At 41.0% G+C, this 17,953-nt stretch overlaps 1 protein-coding gene across 7 annotated transcripts in view; it reads right to left on the bottom strand.

The window, feature by feature from the left end:
- Positions 1-17,953, bottom strand: part of LMNB1 (lamin B1) — a 60,398-nt gene that overhangs the window by 21,006 nt on the left and 21,439 nt on the right. For 5 of the 7 annotated variants that reach the window (NM_005573.4, NM_001198557.2, XM_047417173.1 and 2 more), the window contains exons 2-5: positions 11,083-11,239; positions 10,319-10,444; positions 5,665-5,835; positions 4,117-4,242 (exon numbers count right to left, since the gene is read on the bottom strand). In NM_005573.4, the coding sequence (NP_005564.1) occupies positions 4,117-4,242; positions 5,665-5,835; positions 10,319-10,444; positions 11,083-11,239 (580 nt within the window). Of the gene's footprint in view, positions 1-767; positions 846-4,116; positions 4,243-5,664; positions 5,836-10,318; positions 10,445-11,082; positions 11,240-17,953 lie in introns of all 7 variants that reach the window. The other 2 variants (NR_134488.1, NR_177109.1) reach the window with 1 other exon arrangement.

Below are 17,953 nucleotides of genomic sequence, written 5' to 3'. Positions count from 1 at the left end.
AGGAGAGTTGATGAGAGATATAAACTACCCAAGATTCACAGATAACCTGAGCCGAGATTTATAAACCCAATGATGTCTCTGTTTGACTGCCTTTGATGTTGTAGAGCTCTTTAAGAGGGAAAAATCAAAATCTAGGTATAAAAATTTTAAAGTTACTCTGAATCATTCTGTATTTTAAATAGAAATATTTAAATTCTATTTTCAGTAGCTGCACTTACACCTGTGTAGTGAAATATAAGGAACACAGTATGAGAAGTTAGACCTAGATTCTCCTTTCTAATTCTGCCATTGAAACTACCTATGAGGCTATAAGCAAGCTGTAACTAATCTCACTAAACCAGTTTCCACATAAGGAAAATGAAGAGCTCTAACTATCTAGATGATCTCTCAGATCTTGCCACTAACCCTAAATTTTATGACTTCTGATGATCTTGGGGTTTTTAAATATTTTATAGTATGTAATGTAATTGTACTGGTTTATTAAGGTCTAGCTGCAACCAAAGTCTCCAGAATCTGGGTGTTAGAAAAACAAAAGTTAGAGGTGTTTTTAAGTACCATACTGTACTCTTCTCTAAGGCAAGCAGACTCTAACCAACCAATTCATTTGGTCCCAAGTCAAAAATCTAGAGATGCTATAAGCAATGTAAAATTTCTAATTCCAAAACATAACACTGCTACCATCTATATATTATTTAAATATATCTTGTAAAACCAGTATTTTAAAGCCATGTCAATTTTAAGTAAAATTTAAGAAGTACTTCACTAACCTGAGTTATTTAACCAAAAGGAAATTCTTATGGCCTAATAGGCAGCATGATGAAACTGATATGACTCAGCAACAAACACTATTAAGACAAACAATAGGAAAATATTCAAAAAGATAACATTTTTATTTTTGATGATTTTTCTAAGGCTAAAATTTATCAACTAATAAAAATATTCCTCAAAATATACTGTTTACCATAAAGTCTGTTACCAATAATGAACAGAGGAAAGATTCACCCCAGAGAAATTAAAAACTATTTTGGCTAAAGGGATTGCTCGTCTCCTATCTGCTAAGGAGTTAGCTCCTGGAAACCCCCAGTGCACTGCCTAACATTACTTAAAAACCACTAAGATAAGGTTAACAAAAAAAACTTGCAGCCAGGCACAGTGGCTTACACCTGTAATCCCAGCATTTAAGGCAGCAGCTCACGCCTGTAATCCCTTCCATTTTGGGAGGCCAAGGTAGGCAGAGTACCTGAAGTCAGGAGTTTGAAACCAACCTGGCTAACATGGTGCACCCCATTTCTACTAAAAATACAAAGAATTAGCTGGGCGTGGTAGCGCGTGCCTGTAATCCCAGCTACTCAGGAGGCTGAGGCAGGAGAATCACTTGAACCTGGGAAGCAGAAGTTGCAGTGAGCTGAGATAGTGCCATTGCACTCCAGCTTGGGCAACAAAAGCAAAATTCTGTCTCAAAAAAAAAAAAAAACCAACTTGCAAAAATGGGAATTCAATTAACAGGGAAACAGCCTTGAACCTAGGTTAGAACACATAGCTACTAAGTTTCAGAGCCCACTACTACTTATTAATAACAGTCTCCTCATCCAAAGCACAGTGAAGATCAACCTCAAGAGAAGATCTGTACTAAGTAAATCAAATGGATTAGGCAGCAGCCAAAAAAATAATAATACAGTAGGAAAAAATAAAATTGAGGGATAGACAGTAACTAGTAGACAACTTACTATTAGTAAATGGAAAAGAGTAGTAAATGCCAACTCAGTACAAGAACAGAGAGGCCCATTTTTGGAAAAGTACCTGTTAAGACAGTTGATATAGGCCAGGTGCAGTGGCTCACGCCTATAATCCCAACACTTTGGGAGGCTGAGGCGGGCGGATCACCTAAGGTCAGGAGTTCAAGACCGGCCTGACCAACATGGAGAAACCCTGTCTCTACCAAAAATACAAAATTAGCAGGGTGTGGTGGTGCATGCCGGTAATCCCAGCTACTAGGGAAGCTAAGGCAGGGGAATTGCTTAAACCTGGGAGGCGGAGGTTGCAGTGAGCCGAGATTGCGCCATTGCACTACAGCCTGGGCAACAAGAACGAAATTCTGTCTCAGAAGAAAAAAAAACAACAAGAAAAACAAAGACAGTGATACAGTCTGTGTGTTTGTGTTCCCACAAATTTCATGTTTAAATCCTAACCCTCAAGGTGATGATATTAAGAGGTAGGGCCTTTGAGTGGTAATTAGATCATGAGAGGAAAGCCCTAGTGAATGGGATTCATGCCCTTATAATATAGGGCCAAGGGTGCTCATTCACCCTTTAACCATGTGAGGACACAGCAAGAAGGCACCATCTATAAATCGGGGAACAGCCCTCACCAGGCAGATATCCAATCTGCCAGTGCCTTGATCTTGGACTTCCCAGCCTCCAAAACTGTGAGAAATAATTTCTGACATATCTGTTGTTTATAAGCTACCAAGTCAATAGTAGTTTGTTATAGCAGCCCAAAAGGACTAAGACAGATGGTGCAATGGAAAAAAAGATTATCTGTTAAATTTCTAAAAGTAAATCTTCTTTGAAGAAAATGAGTTATAAAAGGAAAAACTGGGAAGGAGTAGAGAAACCCATTTATCAGTCTGCAGCCTCTGGGCAACGGGCAAATCATTAAACTCACCTAGATCTGTGGTTACATGGAATGAACTCAGAGGTGCTTCCAGCTCTGCTATTAAATGAAAATCTTCAAAACACTATCAGCACAAAATAGGTTTAAAATAATTTAAAAATTTGTGCCGTAAGTAACAAAGCACATGATAGACAGTGTAAAAGCCCCTGTGTTAACTAAATTATTTTATATCACCCCATTTTATGGGACTCATTTTCTGCTTTATTTCTAAGTTCCTGCAACAGAGGTCATCAGTTTTATAATTAGAAAAATATTTTACTAAAAATGGTAAAAAGAAAAAGGAAGGAAGAAAAGCCCAATCAAGAGTAAAATAGGCTGGGCACGGTGGCTCACGCCTGTAATCCCAGCACTCTGGGAAGCCGAGGCGGGTGGATCATGAGGTCAGGAGATCGAGACCATCCTGGCTAACACGGTGAAACCCCGTCTCTACTAAAAATACAAAAATTAGCCGGGCGTGGTGGCACGCACTTGTAGTCCCAGCTACTTGGGAGGCTGAGGCAGGAGAATGGCGTGAACCCGGGAGGCGGAGCTCACAGTGAGCCGAGATCGTACCACTGCACTCCAGCCTGGGCGACAGAGTGAGACTCCATCTCAAAAAGAAAAAAAAAAAAAAAAAAAAAAAAGTAAAATAAAGTTTATTCTCATGTGGAAAATTCAAAACAAGATTTCCTCCCTTGAGGAAAATAGAAGCGGAAGTTATTTCCAAAATAATTAAGGTGACGAGTTAATTGCTGAATCATTCTGAATGCAGTATATGGAGTATATGTACTTTGTGTCCACACTGACATCACCCTAGGCTAAAACTGATCTGAAGTAGTGTCCATGCCTGCTTAAGCAGCACCTGAAGCACACCATCACACCCTGATAGGCAGCCAGTCAACACAGCCGGCAATAATGCCATTTGTCACTTAGGCGTACCAACGAATGAATGAGTCACTAAATTCTTATCGGAATATGCAAATTAAAGCTACTTTCCTGGATCCTAATTGTTATATACTTTAAGCACTAAAGAATTTGTCTAGAAACACAAAGCATTCACCACCCACAAAGAATTTTTGCATGTTTTTCTTCATTTTGGTTTTCAAATGATATAAAAAAGGAAGGTGTTGAGAATAACTCTGTAGAGATGAAGCTGTTAGACAGGTCGGAAGATCCGGGTCCTAGGGTAAGTACAGTGAATAAACTAGCAGGCTCCTTCCTCAAGGGCAAGTCCCTTAGCTCTGTGTAATCTACTAATTAGGAACAATAGTATCTGCTCACAGGATGTTTATGCAATGCAAAATGAACGAATCTAGAAAAGTACTGTGAAGACGAAAGCACAGGATGACACCATCCTCTGTAACAAACAGAGGGAGGAGTGACATCAGCCCAAGCAAAGCAGGTAGGTGCCCGTGGTGAAGGTAGCCTTCAAGTCTAACTTCTTACAGAAAGATGATTATTTACCTCTTTCTGTAGATTAGAAAGCTGGGATGAAAGGCTCTCAATTCTCATGCGGCTTTCCATCAGTTCTTCCCTGGCACTGTTGACAGTAGAAGTATTCATCTCTGATGACAGTCTGGCATTCTCAAGCTAAAAGAAGAAGCAAAGCATAGTCAGTCTTATCTAGAACTGAAACAAAAAAGGAAGCATGATTCACCTCAAGGCATTTCAAACCTAAGTCCTGCTGGTAACTGGTAGATGAAACACAGGAAAAGCATCATGAAGTTTGCTGATATGGTGTGAATGATGGTAATTCTGTGTGACTTTTAGAGTCACTTCCTAAATAATGAGCTTTAAGAATGCTAATATACCTAGGCCTTTACCCAAAGCTTATTACTTCAATATTTCATCTATTAAACCTTTAATGTCTAAGATAACACTGATAATAAGAAGACTGGGCAATAGCAACTTGACTGTGGTGGTGTCTGTAAGAAAAGAAACATCACATATCCCTAACCCACCAAATCCAATACAGAATGTAAACCAACAAGCAGAAAATACTAGTTTATAGATTCGTTCAAACCAGATAGAAACACTTCCTTTCAGAAGCAAAAAAAACTCCTTGAGTAAAATACAAATCCCATAACACTATTGTGTATGTGTGTCTCAGGGACATGCTCCTGTGTCTCCTCCCTGGCTCCCTGTGAGGCCACAGTCTGTGACGGATCCTTACTTTAGCTCCTTCACTGTATAGCTCAATGTGTGATATTAGATAAATGTTATACAACTGAAGTTACTGCTTATAATAAGATCTTTCACTTTCACTAACTGCTACTTCATACAATAGATAAAAAGCAACATGAACAGTTTAAAGCCATGCAATGAAAATTTTCAATAACTCTGTGACTCTAATATTCTAAGTCAACCACAAAAAAGTCTTTTTAATCAAATCATGTAACATTTAAAACACAAGGCAAAATCATTTACCAGGGAAAGCCTGTACTAGTTGGTGATTTTTATGAATTCTTGTAAGGTCAGCTAATATAAGTGGGAAGTTTCTACAATATTTTTTTAAGTGAATAATAGTGACAGAAGAAGAAATAGCAGAGACTTTCCATTTGGCCCTTATGCAAAAAAGCCGGAAGTGTGGTAGTCACAATCTATGCACAATGATGACATGAAAGTGAGATCTAATGCAGTCTGACATTCATTCATTACTAAATGGATGTTTATGTAGGACAGCATGATCAGTACTTGTTATTGGAAGAAAGTTATTTCACATGGTTTGGGTTCAACTACTATGGCATAGTACGAATGATCAATGGGACAAAAAGACAAAACCTAACCTCTAATAAAATTGCAACAACCCTACATTCTTCTAGTAATTTTTAATAACATTTAGTTTATAGAAAACTGCACTTTTTTGAAAAAATCAATTTTCTATATATTTCATGGAGACTAGGGGAATCATTTTTAAAAACTAGAACAAAATAAACATAAAGCCATGTTCATCATGGGAATTGTGAAGTAATGATTTTAAGTGTTCAAAAGAATCTTCTGAAGAGAGCTCACTTTGGCATGGTAAGTCTGCTCCAGCTCCTCCTTATACAGCCTCACTTGGGCATCATGTTGCTCTCTCATCTCATGAAGGGCTTGCGCCAGCTTGTACTCATACTCAATTTGACGCCCAGAATCCACCTCTACCAAGCGCGTTTCATGCTTCCTTCTGGTCTCGTTAATCTCCTGGGGAAAAAACAAAAAGCATAAAGCCAAGCTACTTACCATGGCTGCATTGGTACACATCTGAGTGACATCACAGCCATCTGAAGTTTTACACACGAACTTCCTCCTGTTTGTCCTCAGGCGGTCATGTGAATAAACACTTTTTTGCCTCTTAGTTTTCAGTTGAGGTTTTTGAAATGGAACTAATGACAGAAGTGGTAGCATCTCAAGCCTTAGGAACTTTCTATTCCTTTTCAGGAGCATAGCTATTTATTTTTCTGAAGCCAAGGAAAGGCCTGGATGGCCTACTAAAACTATCTGCAATCAAGGATTTATACACAGTATACTATACTAAACACTAAGCAAAAATTATTTTTCTGAATTGTTTCATTGATAATCTTAAGAACATCTCTGAAAAAACAGCACATGGAAAGTTAAACTTAACAGTTGTGATAAATTCATGTAAAGATTTATGTGAAATGAAACTATTTTCTTTTCTTTTCTTTTCTTTTCTGAGATAGAGTATCACTCTGTCGCCCAGGCTGTTGTGCAATGGTATGATCTCAGCTCACTACAACCTCCGCCTCCCGGGTTCAAGCAATTCTCCTGCATCAGCCTCCCTAGTAACTGGGATTACAGGCACATACCACCATGCCCAGCTAATTTTTGTATTTTTAGTAGAGATGAGATTTCCCCATGTTGGCCAGACTGGTCTCAAACTCCTGACCTCAGGTGATCCATCTGCCTCAGCCACTCAAGTTGCTGGGATTACAGGTGTGAACCACCTTGCCCAGCCATAAAACCATTTTCTTAGACATAATAATAGGCAGCACAAGCTAATTTACATGACTTCTTTAAAAGCCGGTATTAAGCTATCATTATCAAGTGACACAGGATCTTATTAACAATATTAGTTGACTAACTCAAATATTTATGAAAAATTTACCATTGAAGAATAGAAGTAGTTGTCATGATCCTTTCCTTTACTCTGTTTTAAGGAAGTGTCTAAATAAAATTAGAATGGAAGGCTGGGCGCGGTGGCTCACGCCTGTAATCCTAGCACTTTGGGAGGCCAAGGCAATCAGATCACCTGAGGTGAGGAGTTCAAGACCAGCCTGGCCAATATGGTAAAACCCTGTCTCTACTAAAATACAAAAATTAGTCAGCCATGATGGAGGGTGCCTGTAATCCCAGCTACTCAGGAGGCTGAGATGGGAGAATCACTTGAACCTGGGAGACGGTGGTTGCAGTGAGCCAAGATCGCACCACTGCATTCCAGCCTGGGCAGCTGAGCTGGACTCCGTCTCAAAAAAAAAAAAATAATAATTAGAATGGTAATATCTGAAGAAGCCACAAGAGGGAAGTATAACCCACCAAAGTTGCTGTTTGTGTATATTAGCGCATGTATTTTCCTTTGCATTTCTTCATCTTTCTCTTAACTACTACACAGGAGCATGCACTTGACAAAATCTGAAAAATCAGAAAAATCAGGAGGATTCTGCTATCACCTTCCCAGAGATCACATCTATTTCATGAAGCAAATAATACCTAAATCACAAAAATACTGAAGAGTGACTGCTAATGGTTTGTTCTTTGTCTACCTCCTCCTTCCTCTTTCGTCTTTCTCCTTCCTTTTTTCCCCCAACTGTTCATAATAAGGAAGTTAGATATTATTACTGAATATATATCATGAATGTAAAAAAAAAAAGTTAAGGCCAGCGTAGTGGCTCACACCTGTAATCCCAGCACTTTGGGAGGCTGAGGCGAGTGGCTCACCTGAGGCCAGGAGTTTTAGACCAGCCTGGCCAACATGGTATTACTTAGTAAAAAGTAAGGAAAAAAAAAAAAAGTTAGCCAGTTGTGAGGGTGTGAACCTGTAATCCCAGCTACTCGTGAGGCTGAGGCACAAGAATCATTTGAATCCAGGAGGCACAGGTTGCAGTGAGCCAAGACCGTACCACTGCACACCAGCCTGGGCAACAGAGTGAGACTCTGTCTCACACAAAAAAATTTTTTTTAAAGTAAAAAAGGCCAGGTGCGGTGGCTCACAACTATAATCCCAGCACTTTGGGAGGCCGAGGCAGATGGAGCACTTGAGTTCAGGAGTTCGAGACCAGCCTGGCCAATGTGGTGAAACCCTGTCTCTACTAAAAATACAAAACTTAGCCGGGCATGGTGGCACATGCCTGTAGACCCAGTTACTCCAGAGGCTGAAGCAGAAGAATCGCTTGAACCCAGGAGGTGGAGGTTGCAGTGAGCCAAGATCGTACTACTGCACTCCAGCCTGGGCGAGAGAGCAGGACTCTGTCTCCAAAAAGAGTTAAAAAAAACAAAAACAAAAACAAAACTGAAGAGGACTATCTTAACATCCATTCTCAAAAAGGCAAAGGCCAAAAATTCAAAGATGCTATGCACTCTAAAAATATTAAATTACTTTTTACTGATGCTATTTTTTATATAGAACCAGTGACCTTACAAAGAAAAAAAACCCTACTCCTGGTTGTCTACACACAACATCAGAAATAAGTAATGATAAATCACAATTTTTACAAAACAAAACAAAAATGTAAGTCAACCTCATATCAAAATATCTGCTTTAACAAAGCAACACTTAGTAACAATTATATGACAGCACTTGCTACAGTATCCAAAGAGTTTTCACACACAGTATTCCACTTTGATCCTTACCACTCATTGAAGAAAAAAATAGCAGTATTAGTATTTCATTTTAAATAAGAAACTGACACTAAGAGTTGTCCAAGGTCTGACTGCTTGTCTGGTGCACCTTGCACTAATATCTATTTTGTTTAAAGCCTGTAATTTTAAAAAATAATCAGATTTCTATTATTTTTCCTCCAACTAAAAAACTGGTTTGCTAACTGCTACAATGAATTCCTATTTGCACTGTTTTCAAAATTACACTACTTCTAAAAACATTAAGCCTAGCACATTAACAGCATGTTCTCCCCCATGAGTTGATTTCAACCCTCTACAATTTTCATGAAATATACATTCCCCTTTCCTCAATTTTATTACTTCCTTTGTTTGACAACGGTTTTGCCCCTGCCCCTTGACCACAGCAGTTAAGGCTTATAAGTGATATTTTAAGATTTCCACATGAGTGAGCCGGGCACGGTGGCTCACGCCTGTAATCCCAGCACTTTGGGAGGCTGAGGCGGGCCAATCACAAGGTCAGGAGATTGAGACCATCCTGGCTAACACGGTGGAACCTCGTCTCTATTAAAAATACAAAAAATTAGCAGGGCGTGGGTGCATGCGCCTGTAGTCCCAGCTACTAGGGGGGCTAAGGCAGGAGAATAGCTTGAACCCAGGAGGCAGAGGTTGCAGTGAGCCAAGATCATGCCACTGCATTCCAGCCTGGGCGACAGAGCGGGTCTCGTGTCTCAAAAAAAAAAAAATTTACACGCCTATAAATGCTGTGAGTAGCCGCATTTCCAGATGTGAGCCATAGGAGAAGGCCAAAGTGATGGTATGTAACCTCTGTGATTAGGTTATAGAAGACAATCTGGCTTCTGCCTTGGTAGCTGGTAGCATGTATTCATGTTCTCGTTGTGTTTCTTTCTCTCTCTCTCTCTCTTTCTCATCACTGACCCTTAGGGGGGCCATATCATGAGCAGCCCTATGAAGAAGACCATGAGGTGAGGAACTGACACGTCCTGCCCACAGCCCTGTGAAAGAGCTCAGATGCCATTCCTCCAGCCCAGGTTAAAAGCTGTACTGCAACCTCATGGGACCAAGAAACAGAACCACCCAGTTTAGCAGCTCTGAATTCTGACCTTCAGGAACTAAGAAATTAATACAAGTCTGTGGTTTTAGGTTGATGAACTTTGGAAGTAATTTGTTAGGCAGGAATAGATAACTAATGCTTAAACATGTTGACAGTAATTAGCTGCTGTGACCAAGCCTTTATAAGTTAAGATGAAGTGAGGCCGGATGTGGTGGCTCACACCTGTAATCCCAGCACTTTGGGAGGCCAAGGTGGGCGGATCACGAGGTCAGGAGATCGAGACCACCCTGGCCAATATGGTGAAATCCCGTCTCTACTAAGAATACAAAAATTAGCTGGGCGTGGTGGCGCACGCCTGTAGTTCCAGCTACTCGGGAGGCTGAGGCAGGAGAACTGCTTGAACCCAGGAGGCAGAGGTTGAAAGGAGCCGAGATCGTGCCACTGTACTCCAGCCTGGCGGCAGAGCAAGACTCCGTCTCAAAAAAACAAAAACAAAAAAACAAAAATAAGTAAGATGAAGTGAAATCATATCTGTTTACGGTAACAGCTTGAGTTCTCAAATGCGGTCTTTTAGCAGCAGTAGCTTGAATAATCTACCTGCAAAATTTCTCCCCATCCCCAAACCTTATTATTTCTTTATCTGATATATTTTTGTGGCAAAGAAATCATAAATAAAATATAATTACATGTTTAGCTATGACAAAGTCATTCTAGAACCCCTCCATTCCTTTACAAAGCAAAATTATATATAGTTACCTCTTCATACATGCTTTTGCGAAACTCCAAGTCCTCAGTAAGGCTCTGACAACGATTCTCCAAATCTACTTTAAGTAAAGTTTCATCTGCTAACTGTTTTTTGGCTGCAGCTAAGGAGGCTTCCAACTATTACAAGGAAAAAGAATTGTGATAAAAATTACATGGCAATCATTTAATAATGAACATAAGATATCTATGAATCAAATCAAATCAAGTGTTAAAATTCCTATATATTTATCAATGTATAATTACTTCATCTTAACATTTATCACAGAACTGGGTATTCATTTGCTGGTCCCACCCACAGAGTATCATACCAAACGACCAGTCAAATTGTTAATTGGCAACAGGGAATAGAACAGAGACGTATGACTCACTCACATTTCAAAAATCAAACTAGTTATTTTAGCTAACCACTTTCATTTTTTCCTGTGTGGAGAGCAGCATTTTGGCATCTCTTTTCTTACTTATTTCCTAACTAACAAAATAGGCTTTGAGAGCAGAGACAGAATGAGTGTGTGCACAATAGGGAAGAAGAAGGGAACCACAAGATCTGGCCAATCCAGATATAATGCCTGGGAGGTGATAATGTTTTGCATGTTAGCTACCTCAAGACTTTTCTTCAAGTAAACCATCAGAAAACAAATATATAAAATTTCAAAAATAAAATACATTTGAAAATCAATCAATCAATCAAACTATGGCTTAAGGCAGATGAGGCAATTAACCTGTCACATACGGCTCAAGAGTAGGCTTGACCTTACCTGGGCAATCTGATCCTTCAGATCCTCCAAATCTCCCTCTAAACTTTTTTTGTCACCAAGTGCAGTAGCAAGAGCTGCATCTTTCGAATTCAGTGCTGCTTCATATTCTCGAAGCTTGATCTGGGCGCCATTAAGATCAGATTCCTTCTTAGCATAGCTGGAACAGATTTAAAAAGCATAAGACATCAAACCATACTGATGACTTGAGGTCTTCTCCCTCTCTGCTGAAGGGACAAACAAAAGAAGTAGTTTAAATAAAGGCTCCCATCACCTATCAAAATTAGAGAAGCAATTCACAAGCACTGGATCTAGAGTTTTTGTTGGCTAACATTCTCTTTCAATGTCACATGATTACTAATAACTATGGGTCAAAGACGTCCATATTAAAGACCAATGTACCAGAATCCTGCTTGTCCTTGAGTGAGACTGCATGTCCCCCTTGTTCTATAAAGAGGCACACTAACACAGGATATTTTTGAAGAAATGAAAATTCATTTTTTAAATATAATGCATATTATAAGCCAAAACATACAGGAACTGTAAGTCAGGATATCATGCTGAGCGCAGTGGCTTACGTCTGTAATCACATCACTTTGAGAGGCTGATGTGGGAGGATCACTTGAGACCAGGAATTCAAGACCAACCTAGGCAACATAGCAAGACCCCAAATCTACAAAAAAAAAAAAAAAAAAAAGAGCCTGGCACAGTGGCACACATTTGTAGTCCCAGCTACTTGGGAGGCTTAGGCGGGGACATCGCTTGAGCCCAGGAGGTTGAGGCTGCAGTGAGCCATGACTGCACAACTGTACTGCAGCTGGGCAGTAGACCAAGACCCAGTCTCAAAAAAAAAAAGAAAATCAAATTACACTAAATGAGAAGAAAAGGTTATTTTAAAAAGTAATGTTATAACCCAATGCATGATACTGAAACTCCCCTGATATTAGTAAGAACTAATTGACCCCAAGCTTGCAAGTACCTCCCATTTTGTTACATAGAGGTAACAATAAATAACGGCCTCCCTAATATTTTGCATAAAAATTATTTCAGTTTATAAAACCAACTACCAAAAAACTGAGGTTCAGGGCCGGGCACGGTGGCTCATGCCTGTAATCCCAGCACTTTGGAAGGCCAAGGCTGGCGGATCACTTGAGGTCAGGAGTTCGAGACCAGCCTTGCCAACATGGTAAAACCTCGTCTTTACCAAAAAATACAAAAACTTAAGCTGGGCATGGTGGCGCAATGCCTGTAGTCCCACCTACTCGAGAGGCTCAGGCAGGAGAATCACTTGAACTCAGGAGGTGGAGGTTGCAGTGAGCCGAGACCGCACCACTGCACTCCAGCCTGGGTGACAGAGAGAGACCTTGTATCAAAAAAACAAACAAACAGGCCGGGCGTGGTGGCTCATGCCTGTAATCCCAGCACTCTGGGAGGCTGAGGTGGGCGGATCACCTGATGTTGGGAGTTCAAGACCTGCCTGACCAACATGGAGAAACCCCGTCTCTACTAAAAATACAAAAAAATTATCCAGGCATGGAGGCGCATGCCTGTAATCCCAGCTACTCAGGGGGCTGAGGAAGGAGAATCACTTGAACCCAGGAGGCAGAGGTTGCAGTGAGCCGAGATTGTGCCATTGCACTCCAGCCTGGGCAACAAGAGTGAAACTCCGTCTCAAAAACAACAAAAACAAAAAACAAGCTGAGGTTCAAACTGAAGTTTCTTTTTCTCTAAATATCACTTTTTTTTTTTTTTGAGATGGCATCTCACCATCACCTAGGCTGGAGCGCAGTGGGGCGATCTCGGCTCATTGCAACCTCTGCCTCCTGGTTTCAAGTGGTTCTCATGCCTCAGCCTCCCAAGTAGCTGGGATTACAGGCATGCGGTACTAGGCCGAGATAATTTTTTGTATTTGTAGTAGAGATAGGGTTTGCCTATTTTGGCCAGGCTGGTCTCGAACACCTGGCCTCAAGTGATCTGCCAGCCTCAGCTTCCCAAGATGCTGGGATTACAGGCATGAGCTGCTGCACCCGGCCTCTAAATAACCACTTTTTTTTAAATGGAGTTCTACATTATAAAATTATAGTTCATTTGGATATATTTTGCCCAATAATTATATTTTAAAGGTCAGTATTTCTCTCATCCAAATAATTATTAACAGTAGTTACACAGAGAAGCCTTAATAATACCAAAATTATTGCCGGGCATGGTGGGCCATGCCTGTAATCCCAGCATTTTGGGAGGCCGAGGCAAGTGGATCACCTGAGGTCAGGAGTTTGAGGCAAGCCTGGCCAAAATGAAGCCCTGTCTCTATAAAAAATACAAAAATTAGCAGGGCATGGTGGGGTGTGCCTGTAATCCCAGCTACCTGGGAGGCTGAGGCAGGAGAATTGCCTGAACCCGGGAGGTAGAGGTTGCAGTGAGCCGAGATCATACCACTGCACTCCAGCCTGGGTGACAGAGTGAGACTCCGTCTCAAAAAATAATAATAACATCAAAATTATTAATACCTGTTCTTAAAACTGCTATTGTATTTTTCTTGGAGAAACAGGATCTTAAAAATAAACTAAAAAAGTAAAAGAGTACTTTTACTTACTGATGTTTGAGGACTGGCTAAAGGAGGAATCTTTAATTAATAAAAATTTCAAAATAATATTGTAATATTAAAATAAAGTGAAGAAATAAACTGGCCAAATGTTGATCACATATGAAAAGATTTAATAGTATTCACTTTTTACTCATCATAAAAGCTCAGCAGTCATGCCACATGCTTAAATCTCATGCTTTAAAACACCACACGATGGCAGGCTTTAACTGAAGACTAGTCCAGAAGAGGAAAAAATTAACTGTTAAAAAAAATCCCATACTGTAATAATTTACAACCAAAATGCCTAGTTCACACAAGTGCTGGGTCTCCACAGGAATGAACTGACACTTGTGAAGGAGTCTCTATTTTGCCCCACTATAAAACTACCAGAAGGGCTAGGATACATGTCATAAGACATATGACTGAAAATAAAACCATATTTTAAATGCAGTATTACACAATACTTACAAAAGCTACTGACTCAAAATTAATTACTTAACAATTACAAACAGTAATTTTTAAAGCTCAGGTCATAATGTGGTACTTCTCAATGTGATCCTGCCTCATGGCAGGAGAATGACCTGTGCCTTCCAGGGACCAAAATGGTCCAGCAAGAATGATACTGCATAAAACAGCATGTCAACTTTACAAGTTATTGTATGGAACAACCTGTAAAATCGGCATATTTTATGCAGTATTGTTCTTGTTTATTTGACTTCACAGATTTAATAAGTAATACATGCAAATAGCTCAAAACTCAAGATGTCATACTACCAAGTGAAAGATACTGTGTTCAACATCTTGTGGAGTGTAGAAAACACAAGAAGCCAAAAATTAACCCAAGGCAGTACATCCAGATGACTAGAATATGGTGATTTCTTCCATAAAAATAAAAACCAAAGAAGATAAGGAGGACAGGGGATGAAGAGAGTATTTACTTGTGGTACCCTGAGGGCCACCCAATGATACCAGTGGAAATTTTATAGGAGCTTTAATTTCAATCATGACTAATGCTTCTACTGTTCATTTTATGTCAAGTTCTTAGTCACATAAAACACTGTTCTATGAAAATATAAATTGTTCTGTTATAAATTACTTCTTGGCCAAGTGCGGTGGCTCACGTCTATAATCCCAGCACTTTGGAAGGGAGACTAGCCTGGGCAACACGGTGAGACCCCATCTCTACTAAAAATAAAAAAAATTAGCCAGGCGTGGTGGCACATGCCTGTAGTCCCAGCTACTAGAGGGGCTGAGGCGGGAGAATCACTTGATCCCAGGAGGTCGAGGCTGCAGTGAGCCCTGATCGTGCCACTGCACTCCAGCCTTGGTGAGAGAGTGAGACCCTACCACCAAAAAAAAAAAAAAAAAATTATATATATATATATATATATATATATATAGTCTGGCTGCAATGGCTCACACTTGTAATCCCAGCACTTTGGGAGGCCGAGGCAAGCGGATCACCTGAGGTTGGGAGGTCAAGACCAGCCTGACCAACATGGAGAAACCCAGTCTCTACTAAAAATACAAAATTAGCCAGGCGTGATGGCACATGCTTGTAATCCCAGCTACTCAGGAGGCTGAGGCGGGAGAATCGCTTGAACCCGGGAGGCAGAGGTTGCGGTGAGCCAAGATTGTGCCATTGCACTCCAGCCTGGGCAACAAGAGTGAAACTCCGTCTCAAAAAAAAAAAAAAAAAAAAAAAAAGAAGATACAGTGTAGGGTCCAGTGTCCCATCAAGCCCCATCCCAACAGTCCTAGTTTTCTGCAAAACAGTTTGAAAACTTCTGACCACCAAGAAATATGCAAGCTCCTTGGCATGGCAGTCCCCCTAGAAAGCCCTTCAGGTCTAAGTCCTAAAGACCTTCTGAGCCTCGGACTTCACTCTCCCCCACTCCATGCCATCTATTCCCATTCCTAACTCCATCTAATTCCTAACCAACTGCCATTGGAAACTAAGACCAAGGATGGAACAAATGTCATCCTTCCTCTGTAATGCTTCCCTGCTTTACCTCTCCTAGCAGAAAAAAATCATGTACCTTTCTGGGCTCCACAGCACTTGGTGCATCATTCTCATATGGTGCATGGTATATACATCTTTTTAAAATTTAAGATTCCATGTCTGTCTCCTACACTGGAATGTGGGTAAAATGAGATTACCTTCAGATCCTCAGTGCCTGGCAATGTCTGGTATAGGGTGGGGATACTCAATAAAATTTCTGTTAAAAAATGAAAGAAGCAAGCCACAGGAAAGCAGTGCTTACAATTTTACTTTAATATAACAACTCATGAAAAGATAAGTACTCAGCCTCTGTTACAGAGGACCCAGGTTATTCTGAGACCCAAATAGTCAATCTAGATCTGCCCTGCAGTGCCTGTACAAGCCACCACAGCCTTCACAAGCAGGTGGGCAGCAGGCATTGTACCAGGCACTGAAGAGAACTCAAGAGTCAGCTACCGCCCTTGGTGCAAAGTAATTTATAGTCTCTTCTCATAAGAGGTTATGAACACACTTTTGCTTTTTCTAACCCACACAAATGTACAGTGGCATTTATATGCACTCTTATGCACAGGTACACAGGAGAGTTTCGAGACGGTGCGGAAAGGCTCAGTCCAGGTCCCTAGTTTTGAGACATATTTACCTAATCCAGCAGACATTACTGAGTATCTACTATGTACTACCAGGAAGAGAAAGATAAATAAATAAGACAGGGTCCCAACTAAGTGCGTTTTTAGTATTCCCTTCCTTCTTCTGGACCCTCAGTACCTTTACTGCTCAGGGTCAGGCACTAGGCCATGTCACCACACTTAGGTGTGTAGCTGTCTAGGTAGCATAAAGACTTATCTTGCAGATGCTGAAGTAAAATGATGAAAAGGGACTTGTGGGGCTACCTGCACTGGGAGCTCAGGGCAGACAGTTCTTACAGCTGTCCTTACCTTGTGAGCCCTTTAACTCCACAAACAAATTGTTCTGTGTTCATATATTTTTCCTCTTCCTCCTTAGGCCACAATATTAACAGTGAAAAAGTCAATGCATCGCGGCCGGGCGCGGTGGCTCACGCCTGTAATCCCAGCAGTTTGGGAGGCAGGCGGATCACGAGGTCAGGAGATCGAGACCATCCTGGCTAACACGGTGAAACCCCGTCTCTACTAAAAATACAAAAAATTAGCCGGGCGAGGTGGCGGGCGCCTGTAGTCCCAGCTACTCGGGAGGCTGAGGCAGGAGAATGGCGTGAACCCCAGGGGGCGGAGCCTGCAGTGAGCCGAGATTGCGCCACTGCACTCCAGCCTGGGCGACAGCGAGACTCCGTCTCAAAAAAAAAAAAAAAAAGTCAATGCATCATGAAGTGGCTAATAAAGAGAGAAGAACTGACTACTATCTCTTCCTCTTGCATATACAGCACTTACAGTGCATTGATCATACAAATCCCTGTATTTGTGGATATGCTTAGCTACCTCAAGAGACTGTAAACCCTTTGAGGGCAAGGCCCATGACTTATTATTCCTACATCTTCTGCACAGAAAACTCAGATAATGACTATTTTGCTAAATGTTACAAGCACACGCACACACACACACACACACACACTTCTCTTTTTTCATCCTATGTAAAATGTATCATGTGTTTTCCAGGAAGGAAAAAAAATCACACACACAGACACACACAACTTCTCTTTTTTCATCCTATGTAAAATATCATGTCTCTTCCAAGAAGAAAAAAATAATAACTGATGCTTCTATAATCTCTAAAACTCACATGCATGGGTATCCTCTCTTTCTTCCTACCAATTTCCCAGGCTGAATGAATCATGAAAAAAAATTCTTAAGGTTACACCCATGTCTCCATCAGACAATAGCAATAAATCAATGAGTTGGAGTTTTTTTGTTTGTTTGTTTGTTTTGAGACAGAGTCTCGCTCTGTGGCCCAGGCTGGAGTGCAGTAGCGCGATCTCGGCTCACTGCAAGCTCCGCCTCCTGGGTTCACGCCATTCACCTGCCTCAGCCTCCCGAGTAACTGGGACTACAGGCACCCGCCACCATGCCCAGCTAATTTTTTTGTATTTTTAGTAGAGACGGGGTTTCACCGTGTTGGCCAGGATGGTCAACTACTGACCTCGTGATCCAACCGCCTTGGCCTCCCAAAGTGCTGGGATTACAGGCTCGGTGAGCCACCGCGCCCAGCTTGTTTGTTTGTTTGTTTGTTTGTTTGTTTGTTTTGAGACGGTCTCGCTCTGTTGCCCAGACTGGAGTGCAGTGGCACAATCACGGCTCACTGCAACCTCTACCTCC

This window comes from Homo sapiens, chromosome 5 (genome assembly GCF_000001405.40).
Source record: "Homo sapiens chromosome 5, GRCh38.p14 Primary Assembly".
Taxonomy (NCBI): domain Eukaryota; kingdom Metazoa; phylum Chordata; class Mammalia; order Primates; family Hominidae; genus Homo; species Homo sapiens.
This window is presented reverse-complemented; position numbering and strand designations above follow the sequence as displayed.